Here is an 18,147-nt window from a genome sequence, read left to right on the forward strand (position 1 = left end):
AAAAGCATAAAGCTTTTTTTTTTGTTTGCTTGTTTGGAAAATAATACATACACATGGTATTACCATAATCTTATCAATATTATGAAGTCGTTCTAAAGCTTTTTTCTTCTAATATCAGCTAATAGCAGATCTTTGAGTCTTTCTTCCTAGGTATTTTCCAACTAAATGCTTAGTTTAAATTTCCCTAAGCCAACAGCAAATACTCCTTAACCTTGTACTTATGAGACTGAAAGTGAAGATTTACCAAGCCTCTTGTATAAACACAAAGATCACTGCACCCTACCTGGGCTTCCAATCTGTTTGACACTGTGCAACAAAGACTGAGACCCTAAAGTGGAAGAAAAATCTTGTTGTTCATCATGGAAAAGGGAGCAACGGAATGGCAAATAAGAATTTCTAGAGAAAAGCTTCTACACGTAGCCACAAAGTCAAAGAAGATACCAGCTTTCCACGCCATATTTTCAGCCTAAGCCATCTCTTCCACCTTCATTCAATGTGTTTCATGGTGTGATAGAAAAGTCTGAATGTTTCTTGGGCTATTTTCCATCTATTCTATAAAGAAAATGTTTTTCTTGTTTTGCCCTCACTGTAATAATACAGAAAATAAATCTTAAAAATTTAGTGTATTACTTTTGAAGCCTCATAATATATCTAATGTTGAATAAATCCTTAATATATGTTTACTATCTGAAAAAAAATATGTGTTCCCATGCTGTCTTACAGCTTTACAGTATTCCAACTTCAATTACAGAATTCAATTCACCTCATCCTTACTTCTGTGCTACTCTCCACTCATCAGCTGGGAAATAATGTAACAAAACTGAGAGGGCATGAGGAGACCCGAGAGTTCAAGGTGTGACACAAGCTAAGAGACTCTGAACCATTCTGGGTCAGTTTCCTCATCAGTGGAATACAGGTAATCTAGAGATGGGATAATTCCCTTGACCTTGATCCCCCTCTTGGGTGGGAACTCAGTGGCCTGTTTCACTCAGCCTGTCACTGGCCACTCCTCACGAGAGAGAACATGCAAGCAAGCAATTGTAGAGACTGGAACAAACGATTGCTGGAACGGCCAGTTGCTCCTCTCTTGTGGGAGCAGGCTCTGTGTGGGCCCTGGAGCAGCTCCCAGCCCCTGTCCTCTTGGTTCTTGTCTGGCGTCCAGGAAGAATCAGGTCACATGAACAGATTGAAGGGTAGTGTATGTGGATGATTTTATTTGGTGATGGAAGTGGTTCTTGGCGGGATGAGAGTTGGAAAGGGGATGGTGCAGGAAGAAGGTGATCTTTCCCTGAAGCCACGCTGTCTGAAGTTAGCCACATCTATCTGTAGTTTCTGATGCTCAGTTGCTGCTTCTCAGCTTACTCCTCAGCCACTTGTATCCCTGATGCTCAGCAGCTTATGTGTTGCTCTGCCAGCTGAAGTCTTTTTAAGGGCACAGGATAGAAGTGTGGCAGGCCAAAAAGGCAACATTTGGGTGGGAAAACCAAGAAAAACAGGGTCAGTTGTTTTCTCTTACAACCACCATTCCAGGCTTAAGGGTGGGGGTTTAGCTTGGAACCCAGTGGTTCTGTATCAATATCACTTTTAAAAATACTTTTTGTTTCGTAACAATTTTATATATTATGGGGTACAACGTGATGTTTTGATATGTGCTTACAAAGTGGAATAACTTTCTCAACATATTTTTTTTAATACTACATGACATAGTGAAATAAATTTTAAAATCACTGCTACTTAAAATGTTATCTGTGGACCAATGACAGTACCCAGACTGTTTCCTGTCCCTCAGCAAGTACAGAAGGGCGGTCCTCTAATAAGCTTGCTTTGATATAATGTTAATGAAGAAAAAAAAAACAAACAGATTCCCAGTTGGGGCTGCTGTCTGTGTGGAGTTTGCATGTTCTCCCCAAGTCTACATGGGTTTCCTCCAGGTACTCCAGTTTCCTCCCACATCCCAAAGACATGTATATGAGGTTCACTGTGTCTACACTGTCCTGGTGTGAGTTAGTGTGGGGGTGTGTGTGAGCGTGCCCTGTGATGAGATGGCATCCTCTACAAGGTGCTTGCCTTGTACCCTGAGCTGCTAGGTTCTGACCACCTGTGACCCTTAACTAAAATAAGTGGATAATTGTCTTACTTACTTACTTGTTTTTATTTATCTTTATTAAATGTATAGAGAGCTCACATTTATTTCCATGCTAAATATTAGAAGTGTTTTGGTTTTTGTTTAGAAGTTTGGTGATATTTTTGTGACCAGAAATAGGCTGTAGGAACTTGACTCTTACTTATATCCATCAGCCTGTGGTTAAATTGATATCATTATATGTCGTTTCACTTAAAAATCACAGTTTCTGAGAATCTATCAACTATGTTAAGTGAGGACTGTGAGGACTTACTGTACAGAGAGCATAGTTTTTTAGAAACTTCTGAACTGATATTACATTGCCATAGCATCCAAAAGCATGATTTTCCCCCAATATTTTATTATAAAAATGTTTAAACATATAGAAAAGTTTAAAGAAGTTTGTAGTAAGCATATATATATATACACACATATATATACACCTACTAGATTCTACAATTAACATTTTATTCTATTTGTTCTTTCACGTATCAACCCAATCCTTCATCAATTCAAATTATTGTTATGCATTTTAGAATAAGTCAAACACATGATTTTATATTTTATAAAATATTCCACAATGGATGAGAAATCAATAAATACCAGTCCTTTGCTGCTGATAAAATACCTCAAAAAAACCTTTCACTTGAGAAGATGGGTGATATGCCAATGTTAACAAGGAAGTTGGGAGGAAAGAGATTTCTAAAAGCCAAACCATTACATGTTCCACAATACTACCAAGACACCAGAGAATGAGTTGCTACCCTCTCAAATCCTAGGTTTATAAAACATAAATCTTAAGGATAGCACGTTATTTACTCTTGATAATCCAAGGGCCTGCTGCAGAGGAATGAAGTTCCAAAGTAAAAATGGAAAAAAAAGTCTGGAAAGTAAATCAATTTTAAAAACAAACATTCTGTTAAATTAAAGCAAAATGAACCCAAAACTTAACTAAATTTCCCTGGCATACAGTGGCTCTCAATAAATATTTGTTGAATAGATTTTATAGTTTATACCTTGTAGTTGTTTATTTTTTTAACAGATGGCAACTACATGTGGAATAGCAATGTTATTGCTTTTTAATCCCAGAATCTGATTCCCAGGATTGTGAGCGACCCAAAGGTATAAATCCAATCACCCTTCTAAAGCTTGAATTCACTCACCATCACCACCACTAAAGTGACATCCAAACAATATCAAACTCCTTTAAGGAAGAGAAACTAGGCTCTCTGAAGGCAATAACCTGTCTACAGGCAGGAACAACATCTGCAAAGTTGTTTCCAAGTGGCAATGCTCTCCCTGTAGCTGTCATTTTCTTATTGCATGCTAATCCCTGCAAAAACAAAGAAAATCAAATTCTTCCCAAGCCCATTCTTCAAGCGTTTGATGGCAGCTAACACTGTCTTCTGTCTTGCAGGTTAAACGTTCCTGACACTTCTCAGATGACAAGACCCACTTACTATCCTACTGGCTCTCCTTAACACAAGTTTCACTTTTTCTGCACAGGTTCTAGATTAAGGCCTTCATTCATTCTTTTCAGGTCTTTGTTCAGCTCATTATCTTCTTGGTGATGTCTCTTCTATTTAAAGCTGCATCTCTGTCTTTTGTAGTTCCCTATTCTGTTTTCTATTTTTCTCCACAGCACTTATAACTACGTAGCACATGACATTTATTGTATTTTCTTCCCACTAGCAAGTAAGCTCCATGATGGCAGGCATTTTATATGGTTCACCACTGTATCTCCAGGGCAATCAATATTTGTTGAATGAATCAATGAACCTGCCATATGGGTAAGATCTTACAATCAAGGAGGAAGACAGTAATTCATTCCAGTTAGAGAAGCAATGCTGTTAAAGCAGAGGAAGATGCCACAAACCTTTGGAGGGCCTACATACACTCCCAATGCCTTACCCTGAACTTATTTTCACCTACATTATTATGGAAGCTAAACTAAGTATCCCACCAGTATTTGTGAAGCTGGTTTTATGGACCCGAACCTAGAAATTTACATGACTCCCTTCTGAATTTCACCTGTGGTCCACTTTTTTAGTATATTGATATCAGATCTTTAGTGAATATAATGGAATTAACTATTCTCTTCCAGTGTGGACTGCCCAAAACTGTTCATACTTTTCAGTTTTTTTCTATTCTTTTATTTATAAATTGCAAATTATCTAAAATCTATTAGTTTACTCACAACTCCCTTGACAGTTGTGATAGTGGTAGCGGATAGAGAAACCAGTACTGGGAGAGGAAAGGATTTCTTTGCACAGTCATGCAGAAGTCAGAAACCTATTGTACATGTGAAATATGCCTAAATGTATCTTGTATTAATGTAGTAATAGCAGTTACTGAGATTTTCAATTACACTATTATACTATTTTTATTACAGCTGTGATGCATCATTGCTGAAAATGAACTATCTGATCTAAGTGAGGTTCTTAAACTCGAGTACGCATTAGAATCAGCTGGAGGACTTGGTGAACCAGATTGCTGCCCCCTCCTCAAGTTTCTGTAAACTCTGCAGTGAGCTTAAGAATTTGCATTTCTAACAAGTTCCCAGGTGATGCTGAGGCTGCTCGAAGATGCTTTTCCCTGGGGACAGAAAGTGAATGCAGGTGGTCTGATGTAAAAGGCACATGTTCTTTTTGAAAAGTAACTATGCTCTGCACTGTTCTCCACCCTGACAGAGTCTCATTCTGCCAGGCTGGTGTGCAGTGGCACAATCTCGGCTCACTGCAACCTCCGCCTCCCGTGCTCAAGCAATTCTCATGCTTCAGGCTCCCGAGTAGCTGGTATTACAGGAATGTGTCACTACGCCCGGCTAACTTTTGTATTTTTAGTAGAGACGGGGTTTTACCATGTTGGCCAGGCTGGTCTCAAACTCCTGGCCTCGGGTCATCTGTCTGCCTCAGCTTCCCACAGTGCTGGGATTACAGGGGTGAGCCACCACACCTGGCCTAACTATGCTTTTTAAGCTTAAACTTTTAAAAAGGATTGATATCAATTATTAGGATAATTACACAATTTTTTACCCCTTTTGAACTTCAGCAGAAAGGCAGCCTACATCAAAACCCTTCAAACTAAATACTTTTTACACAAGGGAGCTACTAGCTCCAATATCAGTACTTCCTAAATGGAAACATCCATTCCTACAGCTCAATATTTCTTTTTACTCAAATCAGATATACCCTGGCCATATCTTCACCCTCACACAACTCCTTTTTCTTTCCTAATTATGTTGAGATCACGTAAGGTATCATTCAACCACCCTCCAGCTAGCACTCCCAATGCCTTTAGCTGGGATTTTTCTTCCACTGTGCATTTCTTTAAGCCCTTAAAGCTGGACTCATCCTAATGCTTTGTCCTTTACTTAAAAACTAGTGTTTCAAGCTAACTGCAGGGTAGTGGTTAAGACCATGAGCTGTGGAACCAGAACAAGTTCAAATATAGGTTCTGTGTGTCACATACCAGCTGTTTAACTTTGGGCAAGTTACTCAGTCTCTCTGCGTCTCCATTTCTTCATCTCAAGAATGAGGATACCAATAATGCCTATCTCATAGCATTACTGTTAAGGATTAAATGAGATTCTACCTATTAAGGGAATGTAGCAACACCTTGTGTATTATAGCTAAGATTATTACCACCCCTCCCTCTATTCCTATCACACTTGCCAGCTTTACTCAGCCTGCTAAGCATTCTTGGGTGACAAAAATATCTTATAACATAGTACATAGGGATACTACAAATTCAGGGAGCCAAAAATAGTAACACTGAAATTTACATAATAGTAAAATCACCACTAATATAAATGTCATTGGTGGTTAAATTATTTTGTTAATAAATCACAAGTTAGTACTTAACATGTATCAAGCCTTTTGTTAATTTTTTACATTTATCTCATTTAATTAGTCTAAGTATAGACCTATATTTCCAGCTATGCCATGAACATCACCCAGAATCTGTTCTATGACATATTCAAAATCTGTACTCTTCTACTTCAAACTTAATTCACCTCATTGTCATTTTCCATCTCACTGAATGTCATTATTATAACATAGCGGCCCAAGCCAGAAAGCAGGGAGTCATTCTTAACTCTTCACTCTTCCTCTACTCCCCCTGACCCATACCCACCTCTTCTGTATCCATGGTGTGTTGGTAAATTGGAGATGAACTGAAGATAAAGGTTAGGATGTAGAGAGGTTTTAAAATCAGTGTTACCCTGGTCATGGAAAAATGAAGTAGAAAATTCACACCAGCAAGTGAAATCAAAGAACATATTATCTTGTAGGCGACCCACCCAATTCACTTGCCACTGCCTTCATTTATATTTTCACTTTATCACTCCTGGATCATTGCAACAGCCTTCTAAGTTTCATGTGTTAGGTTCAGGGTCAGGTTCCAGCCCATGCTGAGGTCTGGAGGGAGTGGGTGGATGAGTGGCAAACAGCTGAAAGAAAACTCAGGGAGACATAGGTAGATGAAATATGGCTTTATTCAGAAGCTCTCTCATCAGCACCTCTCTTAGAGTGTCCGCTCTGTCTCAGCTGTTTGAGCTGGCAGCTCCCACACACAGCTGTGCTGCTGGCTCTCCCTTGCCTTCAGGGTCAGCAGCTTAATTTTCTCTCTCTGGGCACGAGAGTCCCTATATAGTGTCAGCAGGGCAATGATACCTTTTACAAACAATAGTGGCTTAGAGCCAAATGATGAGCCTTCCCATTTTATGGCTACATGGTTGTGGTAACGGGGAGTTATACACCTGAGCTCTAAACTCGCTGAGTCACTCAGCCTGTCCTTGACAAAAGCACAGCCATGTTCCTTACACTCCACCCCCTCGGCCAAGGGAGACATAGGCCTTGGATACACAGGTTATATACATAAGCTTTGGTACATAGGCTCGATATATATACACACAGGCTTTATACATAAGTTTTGGGTACATAGGTTTGATATATAGGCTTGGCACACAAGCCTTACATTCCACCCCCTAGGCTGATGGAGTCCTTTTAGTGAGGACCGGTGCACATAGGGCTGCACCTTGGACCTATAGGCCACAGCAACAATATAAGGAGCAACAACATACTACTAATATTCCTGCTATGCTACTCATGATTATTAGAGCCCAATGTAGGCCAGAGCCCAGAGATGCCCACCATCTCTTCCAGGGGTCATCATCAAGGCGCTCAATCACCTTAACCTCCTGGGACACCCCTTGTAAAGCTGCCATTATGTTCTGGTGGTTGTCAGGGATGAGTTTTCAACATTGTGTCCCTACAAGGGCACAAGTGCCACCTTGGGCAGCTGTGGCTATGTCTAAGGCCATCCGGTTTTGTAGCACCACCTTCCTGATCTGATTAACCTTATCAGTTAACAAAAGGAGGGCAACTCAGATGCAATTCAGGGCCCGAGCTGTGTGCTCTGCAAGGGCTGTAACTTGCATTTCCTACAGTAATGACACCTGCTCCAGGAACAGTTATTGCTAAGGGATAGAACCACAAGGGGGCCCACCCCACTCACAAAAACTGGAAACGCAGCACCCTCTAGTCATGTAGGTGACCAGGCAATGTGGAAAGCACAGTGGCAGGCACATGGGGCCACCCTCAGGTACAGTCCAATTGGCTGGCAGATATGGCCATCCTGTGCCCTCACAGACCCATCAACTCCCAGGGGGTACAAAGTCCACTGGGGCCCAGCCTTGGTAAGGCCGCTTATTCCACAACACCCTTGGTGTAGTGATCGTGTTATGTTTGCACAAACCTCAGCAGGCAACCATCCCACAGTGACTTTACCCCAGTGCTGCTCTATACATGGTGGTGTCCGCAATGGGGGCACCACGTGTTCTCCCATTAGACAGCTCCATCCATCATGGACGCTAGAGTCAGCCAGGGGGCAGGCTTGCCATGGGTTTTGTGACGCCTCCTATTCAAAGCTTGATGTGTTGCATCCCACCCACTGTCCACGAGGCCTGGACAGTGTGCAGTTCTGCACAGAAGCTGGATGCACACGCCAGGGCAAGCCATCCGCAGCTGCTGCTGGAAGGACAGTGCCGATCCAACAGTTAGAGACATTGGTCACCTCAGTAAGGTGTGGAACCAGTCCACAATGCTACTGGAGCATGCCAACTTACAGCTGAAACAACAAAGCAAGCACGGATACTAACCAGGGTAAATCACGTCCCTCAGGCAAAATTCAAGTCAATTTTTCATCCCTGGATAACAATGCAGCTGCCAAGGGCTTCTGCCCTGGGTGATGATGCTACACCTCATCAGCTTTCTGTGGTTCCCTTGGGTCCTGCACCCATGCCAAAGTTACAGGGAAGTTTATGATAGTCCACACAGACAGTACATATGTTCCCGGAGGAGGGTTCCTTCCCTGGCCGTTCCCCTACGAACGGCTAATTGTGGAGGTCACACATTAAATACCCAAGGAGTAACATGTAAGTTATACTGCAGACCCTTCCCCACAGGAGGCCACAATCGCCAACCATCTGCAATGAGGGGCTTGGAGGGTCCATGGCTGACACCAGGTTTTGTCTCCCTACTTTTAGGGGTATTGGGGCAGGTAATAACAGATTATCTCTCATCCTCGTAACTGGTTGGAGAAGGTCATCCTTCCTCTCATGGATCCGGCCACATGGCCTGGCCCTATGTGGGTTGGTGACTAGGTAATTCTATAACTTTCACATAATTAACAACAAGGTTAAGCCTCAATAAACTGCCCAGCTACAGCTGCAGATTACTGTAGGTGTCACCTTCTTGGTGATCACCATCCACATTGCTCTGAGTTTAGCTCATTAGCTACTTTGCCCACACTTGGTATCAAACCATATAGTGTCAGTAGAATGGCCGGACTGTGACAACAGTCCAGGCAGCACAAGTATCTCGACTAGACCTGTGTACCATGCCCCATTAGGAATGGGGGGATACCATTCCTTATAGTGAAGGTGCAGATTCTAGGTGTACCTCCGGCCCCATGGCCTTATCTTGCATTAGGACTACAGGTCCCAAGACTTCTTGTAACTCTGCTGCTAAGGGACTTGTACTCAGCATACTCCGCTGCTCTAAGCAGGTGCTTCACTTCACTAAAGTGGATGTCTGCACCGTCCTTATCCGGGGAGTCACTACCCATGAATGCACCCATCCTGCTATCAGGTAAGTCGTCCATATGACGACTGTAACCCATTCTGCCACACTCTTATGAGCCTGATGGGCAGCATATGTAGTTACTAACTGCTTTCCCAGTCCAGGGGGTCACTACCCATGAATGCACCCATCTGCTATTACTAACTGCTTCTGTATTAATGAACACTGGAGCTCAGCTCCCTTCCACAGCTAGGACTAAAAGCCTGTTGGCACTTCCAAGGTCTCCATGCACTGCTATAGGCCCTAGCCAACACTATTTGTGGTCACATGCACATTCAGTTTAAATGGGCACCCCTAGTCAACTACCCATAGGTCTTGTGCCTACTGAAGAGCCTGCTTGGCTGTGTAAGCCTCACCATGCAACCCCAGGCAAGGTGGGCATTGCCACTTCTAAATCTGCAAGAGAACCAGAGGTTCGCATAACGTCATCAACAAGATCATGACATATGATGAGGCTATGCATATAGTCCTGCAGTGACACTATGAAAGTCCATTGTCACCCTCCCATGAAGGCAGACTGTTCCTGGCTCTCTGGAGCAATGTTGATTGAGAGGAATGCATTGGTCAGGTCCACCACACAGTGGCACCATCCCAGTTCTATTGTCAAGCAGTCCAGCAAGTCCGTGACAGACAGCACAGCTGTCAAGCTGTGCAAAACATCCACCCCCAGAATGTCTCCAGGCATGGGAGAGATGTGCACAGTGGACAAGCAGACAGCCAAGTGGCGAACGCCAAGGTGCAGACACAGGTTCCACTTTCACTGACTGGTCTTCATAACCATTAATAAACACAGCTCTGCCCGGAAATTTATCCGGGTTCAGAGACTAGTGGATTGCCAAGTCCGCATATGGCCTTTGGTTGTCTGGTGCCACCCAAGCCAGGCATCTCGGCCAGTCTCTTATCAAACAGAAAAGGCTTTACACTTCCACCTGACTGCAGCAGGCAATCTGTGAACTGGAATACTCGGGCAGGACCAGGTTGTACACCAACGTCCTTCTCCTGAATGACTTGCACTAAGTCTGTACATGACTGCCGACATTACTTGCTTGACTCCCGCAACATAGCGGGGGTGCAGGCACCATATAAAATGTGTTCCACCACGGTGGTGGGGGGAGGGTCCCTAGGCTCACCCTTGGTGCCCAACAGCTACTCATGCTATATTTTCTGGTGGATCACTGGGCGAGCCTGCAACAGAGGTTCTTTCTCCCTGCGCTGCATCCTGCAGGGACTGGGCATGCAATTCCTGCAGCACAGTTACAAACGCCCATGTGACTCTGCCAGCGAAGGTATGCTTTTCCTTAGTGCTGTGCAGTTCCTGGTGCTTCAGTACCTTCTCCACACTCATGGGAGACCTGTCTACTGCCTCCCACGTTTCCACTGGGGCCCACCCAGGCAGCACCGCTGCCACTGGGTACCACAGCCCATGCTGCGGCCACATAGCCGACCCAAGACCCCTCAGAACTGAAGACCCACTCACCTCATCTGGCCAACTATGCCAACTGTCAGGTTCATGAGTACACCAAACGTCATGCCCAGGGTCCAGCCCCTGCTGAGGTCCGAGGGGAGTGGGTGGATGGACAGATAGCTGAAAGAACACTCGGGGCCGTAAGCAGGTGAAATGTAGTTTTATTCAGCAGCTTTCCCATCCACAGCTCTCACGCACTGTTCTCTCTGTCTTGGCTGCTTGAGCTGGCTGCACAGCCTGCTCTCCATTGCCTTCAGGGTCAGCAGCTTAACTCTCTCTCTCTGGGCACAAGTGTGCCTATACAGTGTCAGCAGGGCAATTATACCTTTTACAGACAATAGTGGCTTAGAGCCAAATGATAAATCTTCCCATGTTATGGCCACATGGCTGTGATAACAGGTGGAGTTATACGCCTGCACTCTAAACTTGCTGAGTCACTCTGGATGTTTACCTCAGCCTGTCCTTGACCAAAGCACAGCCATGTTCCTTACACTGTGTCTTCAAGTTTCTTAACCAAAATTCCATGTGACACTCAAAGCTCCTTTATAAAAATACTGTTAACACTGTTCTCTCCATTAGAATGTCCTTCTTCCCACAAAGTAGAGTTCCATTTCAAATATCATTTCCTTCTTTAAGTGTTCCCTAATTATCACTCCAGTTGAAATTCTGCCCTTCATATCGCCACAAGCCTTTATCAATTCCTCTCTATGAGGAATAGAAATTTAACACTTTCTACCTTGATATTTTGATTTCTACCAAGATACTTTCAGTAAAGTGAAAATAAGTCAAACTTAAGGAAACAGAAGGTGAAATTTGGGACCTGATTAAAGGTTCTTTGGAACAGTCCTCTGGCAGTGGTTCTCAGTCTTGTGTGCACACTGGAATACCCTGGGCAACTTCAAAAACTATCAATGCCTGGGTCCCAGCCCAGATGTCATGAATGCATCCTGAACACTGAGACTTGGAAAAGCTCTCCAGGTGATTCCGATGTGCAGCCAAGGTTTTGAAGTACTACTCTATGGGGACTATAAAAGGGAGTAAGAGGCTGGGCGTAGTGGCTCGTGCCTATAAACCTAGCACTTTGGGAGGCTGAGGTGGGCAGACTGCCTGAGCTCAGGAGTTCAAGACCAGCCTGGGCAACATGGCAAAACCCCAACTCTACTAAAAGTAAAAATAAATAAATAAATTAGCTGGGCGTGGTGGTGCACACCTGTAATCAGCTACTTGGGAGGCTGAGGAAGGAGAATCACTTCAACTTAGAAGGAGGAGTTTGCAGTAAGCCAAGATCGTGCCACTGCACTCCAGCCTGGGTGACAGAGGAAGAGCTCTGTCTCAAAAAAATAAAAGAGTTAAGAGATTACTGAAGGATTTTTCAACAGAAGCAAAGATCTGGTTGACATCAGATAATAATAAATATTACAACTTGAGTAATAGCTGACTGTTTAGAAGTATTAAAAGCAGATGTAGAAATGATTCAGGGTAGGCAAATGATATTGTAGGAAAGTGTAGGAGGCAAGGAATTTGGTGGCACTTGGTAAAACTAAAATGACTTACAATTGCTTCTAGGCTGAAGCTGGAAAAGAAGAGATGGACTGGGAAGATAGGGACAACAATTAAGGGAAACTGCTTGGAATGAGAACCAAGAATAAGTCTGAAGAAGTAGTGGAGATGAGCAGTCAAGCAAATGCAGAGGGAATTCTGAAAAAGATGCTGTGAGTTGTTAAGTTTTCAAAGATGACAGAACATGATGTGTGGCAACAACAGTGTGTTGCTAAACTGGACATGTGTAGAAGAGTTTTGAAATCAGAGTCACCCTGGTCATCAACAGTGATGAAAAATATGCATGGCAGCATCTAAAAATCATCACGGGACACAGTAACTTGGAGGTCTGATAAAGATGCTGCCATAATTGTGGAGAGAGGGGTTAGAAGCTGTGGTGTGGCTATGAAAAGGGGAGGTAACAAATTGTGGTAGAATAACACTTACTGGTAGGAAAGAGACCATCTGTTTTTCTAAAGTACACTCCCTTCCCCCCACTTATAAAACCAAGTATGTATTTAAAGATATTTCTGTGCTGGTAAGTGTATTAATTTATAATCTTTATTTTTCATCATTAAGAACTAAATATTAAAAAATACAGTAAGTACAAAGCCAAAAAACCAAATTTGTTTTTAAAATACAAAAACAGGTGTTCATGGTAAATGATGGAATGGGAGAATGGAACTGGCATGAGAAAGACTCCTTCACAGTAGCAGCATGTAAAAATTTCTCTGCTTGCTTCAGTGCCTTCCCAAATGCTCATCTTTCTCCCAGTTGATACCTACGTGCTGCTTCAAAACCCGTTAAATGTGGTGAAGGGGTTTAAATCCCATCAGAAAAGTCAGATCCCTGGCTCACTAATCCTTTGAAAGGCTCACACTAGTGCAAATAAATAGCTGACTAACATTCTCTGCAGGACAGTTGCATTATAATAATTCTATAGCAAGAGATAGGGATATTATCAATGTAGTGTGTCCTATAACAAGAGGTACTGTATAGATGGAGTGAGTCATTTCACCTATAGCACCACCCGATAAGAGTTGAAATGCGTTAGAATATTTTTCACTGTAGTAAAATATTAAACCTAATTTATCTGAGGAGTGAATAAAAAAGCAAGCTTAATTCTTACAAGGAACATAAACTCCCTTCTGTAATTCACATTATTAGTCCCATGTCATTATGACAAGATATGTTTGCATCACTAGGTACAAGAGAAAATGGTATATAGCCCACAGAATAAGTGAAAATCTATTATAATGAATAAATTTGATATAGTAGTGCTATTTCCAAGTTCTATTTAGTAAACCCAGAGTAAAAGGGGTTTATTGATCTGTTTACAACATTCTAAACACTAAGATTAAAACTGTTTTGTTCTGACATAAAAGAAACAGCTATGTAAAGTGCTTAGTCCTCTACCTGGCACATGGTAGCCACTCAGCAGACAGTTCCCATTTTCACTGACTTGACCCTTTCCCTCCCACTCCAAATATAGATTCTAACCACCCTTTAAAGAACATCCATAGAAAATTCTCAGATCAAACAAGCACACTGTGTTAAATGTTAAATGTCCACATTAACAAAGGTTATATCATAGAAGTATGCACATGCCAATTTCTTATGCATGGGAGTAACTCAGGTCTTAGATTGACAATGATGAACAAAGGAAAAGGAGGAGAAAAAAGAAAAGGAAAAATGAACAAGGATGTGGAGGGAGAATGAAAAACACAATTGCACTGTCAGTGTGAATAGCAAACAAATTCCTGAACTACCAGATGTCATGGAACAAGTACCCCACACAAGAGTACACAGAGCTGCAATGACCCTGGAACTCTAGGTGCAGGGACTGCCAACACTACAGATGCATTCATTGTCATAGCTCTAGTGATTTTCTTGGACAAATGGTAGAAATCACTTTAGCCACCCCACCCCCATCCGCTGCTATCCTCTAGTGGCAGAAACATTAACAGTGGCCAAAGAATGACAATTTATCCTGATTAGGTGGGCAGCTAATTTATCCTTTTAGGGACAGCTGTCATGGGGTCCTCAGTGTCCTCTCTCTTCAGTGTGGTCCCTCGTCCCTCAGGAAATGACTTTACTCTCCCAGGGTAAGCTCAAAATAACACTTAGTGTTCCTGCTAAATCCTCCAGTAGTCCAGTGCTATGCAGTTCTTTCAAAGAAGAGCTCTTGTGATTAACACAAAAGTCTCTAAAGTTGTGTGTAAAAAAGCCTTTGTGTACCAAGCAAGGCATGGCTCACACCTGGTCATTTGCCCAGTTTTTGCCGATTCTTCCTGGCCTTAGATTAGTGTCTCTCCTCCTTTAGTCTTCCATGACCCCATGGTCATGGAAGCAGTTATAGCTAACTACTGCCCTTCTACCTGTGTCTGAATTGCAGTATTGTTAACACTGAGCAACTCACAAGATTCCTCTTCACTAGGTCACCCTCCAAGGCTGCGCAGCAATTCAAATCCCAGTGTTAGCCTTAGAGTTCAAAGCTGCTCATTAAAATTATGCATGCTGAACTGTAATAATAAATTCTGGGCTAAAATTATAATTTAATATTTTTTCAAAGTAATTTAGAGTGAAAAACTTCAAAATTTTCTGTTATTTTGTATAATTGGGAAAAACAGTCAAGTTTTTCAAATTAACACATAATAGTTGCATTACAACAAAGATATTTATCATTCACTTATTCATTCATTCAAAAATACTCGAGTGCCAGGAACTCTGCTGGACCCTGAGAATATAGTGAACAAAAGAAACATGACCATATCATAATAATAATAATTTCTATATTGTATCACTTATTTCAAGAATAGTCTGGCATAGATTAAACATTTTATTTAAGAAAACAAATTGGGGAGTGGGGAGAAACACATGGGAAGTAAATTTGCCATGACTAAGTATCAAAGTCGTTCTATGTATTATGAATATGTAACAATTATTGTAAGTAACACTGGACACTAAAATAGTTGCTGTTCACTTAAAGAGTGCTAGTATTTTATTTTAAAATTTCACTATACAGATGCATATCACAAAAAAAATGTACTAACTGCTTGAACAGAACTATTTATCAAGAATAAGAATAATAAGATTTTGTAAAATGTTCATGCCAAGAATGCAAAAGAAAAAAACAGCACAATAACCTCACAACTAAGACATACTATAAATATGTTATCAAAAGATAATTTTTACTCTTCCTAGCACATAAAAGATAATTTATTGTTTTCAAACTTAATTGATACTTTCTGTATTAGAACATATTACATATCAGTAATTTTCTTACCAAAATAGAACCCAATATATGTACAGTAAATATTTAAGAAAATAAGTTTGTCCTTAGCTTTAACATGAATGTGTACATATAAATATACATATGTACACTCACAGGAGTAACATACATTGACAAAAAATTACACTTAGCAAAGGTCCAAAATTGCACAAAAAAAATCCCGCTAGGACTTTTTTGCTATCTTTGAGGTTGGACAAAGAATGTATAAAATTACTGAAGTAACAAAAAAGGACACAAAAACCACACTTCAAACAGACAAACTGCTTGTCAGTATTAGGACCTGATTTCACATACAGGTTTAATACACTTCCTCAAAAGTCATGCCATCAAGGTGAAGGATGAACATCTTCCACTACTGAATGAGGCTGGATGTCATTATTCTGAGAAGTAGGGTTCTCCTCCACATGGATTACTTTATCTGAGGTTCCTGCAGGAGAAACTTCATTATTTGTCTCCTCTTCACTAGGTGATAAGGTTTCAGGCAGTTCATTTGACATTAGAACTTGCAAAGGTTCTGTTCCATTTTCAACAACCACTTGAATCCCCAAAACTTTAAGAATATCACATTTGCAAATGGGGCATGTCCCATGGGGTAAAATCCAGGGGTCAATGCAATTCTTGTGGAAAAAATGTTTACAAGTCAGAATACGAACTATGTCATTAGGCTTATAGCGTTCAAAGCAAATTACGCAGCTATCCCCATTTGGATTTATTTCTTCATCCCCCTCTTTTACTACTCGAAGTTGGAGTTGTCCAAATGTGTTCTGAAGATCTGTTGTTAATCGCTGCCATCTCCGGTTCTGAATCCTTGCTAAACAAAGTCTATGAATGTGATAAAAGATGAAATATGCTAAGGTAGCAGTTGTGACAATCACAAAAGAGACCAAATAGTGATTCATCCAGATGATGTGCTTTCTCCCCACCTCAACCACGGCTGTAATGAGAACTCCCTTCTTAATTAAATGGAAAATTTCCGTGCCTTTTAAGTTACCAATCATAACCACAACGACATCTTCAAATGCCTGATGAAACATGGGGAACACCTGGTTGCCAGTACCTGGAACGTTATAGATGATCACTCCACTGGCTCCCTTCTCAGTTGCCACTTTAATTTTCTGTGTGAAGGTACAACCTCCCCGTTCAATAAGTGCAAGCCAGGTCTCTGAGTACTTTGATCGGCTGAAAATGGTATTGGGATTACATGCATTTTGGATTTTTCCCTCTGGTGGCACTATAACTCCTGCCACTCTCTTCAAAGTGGAGCTTCTTCCAAAGACTCCAGTCTCTCCCAACTCTGACAACACATGATTCCCAACATGAAATGATATGTTCATATAAGCCATCCAAACAACACTTGCTCTGCAACAGTTCTGACTAACAAGCCAAAGAACACTGAACTTCATAAGCCAGGAAGAGGCAGTGTTGTTTCTCCAAGTGCCAACCTTGAGTAGATGCATCTCTCTCTTCTCCGAGTGACTTAAGAACCAACCTAACAGTTGCACATCTGTTGACAATTAATTTAAAATAACGAAGAGAAAAAAATCTTCAGGATACAAACAAGATCCACTGTCTTCCAGCATGTTTTTGTAAGAAATTCTTAAAGATGGCTTATGAGTTTCAGATGTCTTACTAGAGAGAGGTGAAAAACTTTAGATTGAAAAATAAATCCCCTACTGTTAACTCTAGATACTGCTTACTATTGTGTGATGTGATTATGACATGCAAGACCCAGCAGCCAATTAGATAAGAGCTTAGAGCATACTGTGAATTTATTGGCTTAAATGCTGTTATGGGTGATTTCTATGTTGTTATAAGATGGATATAATCACTGAGCTACATATAATGGTAGTAGATAGCACATTAAACTAAAAATTAAATCTAAAATTCATACAATGTGTGCTCTTTAAAGCCTGAAAGCACATGTAAGAATGTTTTATTTTCCCAGCAAGTGAAGGAGATATTTCCAACAAAATGGCAAGCTAAAAAAAAGGATAATTAAAAATTAGTGCAGTGACCGGATGTGAGGCAAAAGTGGTGAGCTTAGTGACATTATTTTTACATCAAAAAGTAAAAGTCACACTGCTAATTTTTGATTCATCACATAAACCATTATATTGCATTTATTTAATTTAAGCTTTCTGAGAAGTTTGTGGCTTTTGTTTTATGGTTTTGCTGTTTTAAAGTAAGGGATCCTGCTCAGTTTACTTCTGCCTCACTTTCTCTGTCTTACATTGACTGTACAAATGTAGTAAGACTGACAGGAGTAAAGAAAGGACTGATATCTAGGGAAGCTAATTTCTCTGCAGACTTTGATGTCTGTTATTAATCAAACAATATTTTGAAAGAGGAGGAGAAAGGGTGTCAAGGGAAAGATTAAATATAGTCATATTAGTTTGGCACAATTCATTTTTTAAAAAACAGCTATTAAGAAAAACTTCAAGGTGCACACTTAAAGTTAACCATTAGCAGCAATAAGTAGATGCTTTTATCAAACATTTTTGCAGAACTTAACAAATATCCCTATTAGAAGATTCCACAGGCTCTGTCCACTCTGCCTATGTTTTTGCCACAATCATGTCAGTGGCAC

At 41.2% G+C, this 18,147-nt stretch overlaps 2 protein-coding genes and 1 long non-coding RNA gene across 30 annotated transcripts in view, besides 1 other annotated feature; all 3 read right to left on the reverse strand.

Annotated features, from left to right (window-relative positions):
* The window catches only part of CADPS2 (calcium dependent secretion activator 2), a 568,050-nt gene that overhangs the window by 363,491 nt on the left and 186,412 nt on the right, over positions 1 to 18,147 (reverse strand). The gene's annotated exons all lie outside the window — the stretch shown is intronic.
* LOC124901739 (uncharacterized) lies at positions 1,195 to 11,843 on the reverse strand. Its single transcript, XR_007060506.1, has 2 exons — positions 3,286 to 11,843; positions 1,195 to 1,422 (listed from the first exon to the last, which is right to left on the reverse strand). It is a non-coding gene; the product is annotated as an uncharacterized LOC124901739 (long non-coding RNA).
* Positions 10,486 to 10,985: an enhancer, noted in NCBI's record as "H3K27ac hESC enhancer chr7:122332441-122332940 (GRCh37/hg19 assembly coordinates)". NCBI's record gives its function as "activates a minimal SCP1, AML or CMV promoter by ChIP-STARR-seq in primed H9 embryonic stem cells {active_cell/tissue: H9 hESC(primed)}" and the evidence as "EXISTENCE:reporter gene assay evidence [ECO:0000049][PMID:30033119]".
* RNF133 (ring finger protein 133) lies at positions 15,834 to 17,216 on the reverse strand. The gene has a single exon (NM_139175.2). The coding sequence runs from the start codon at positions 17,015 to 17,017 to the stop codon at positions 15,887 to 15,889; it is 1,131 nt and encodes a 376-aa protein (NP_631914.1). The 5' UTR covers positions 17,018 to 17,216; the 3' UTR covers positions 15,834 to 15,886.

This window comes from Homo sapiens, chromosome 7, assembly GCF_000001405.40.
Source record: "Homo sapiens chromosome 7, GRCh38.p14 Primary Assembly".
Taxonomy (NCBI): Eukaryota; Metazoa; Chordata; class Mammalia; order Primates; family Hominidae; genus Homo; species Homo sapiens.

Bases quoted from the DNA above. Each gene is read 5' to 3' on its own strand.
- RNF133 (NM_139175.2), bottom strand. From the start codon at position 17,017: ATGCATCTACTCAAGGTTGGCACTTGGAGAAACAACACTGCCTCTTCC.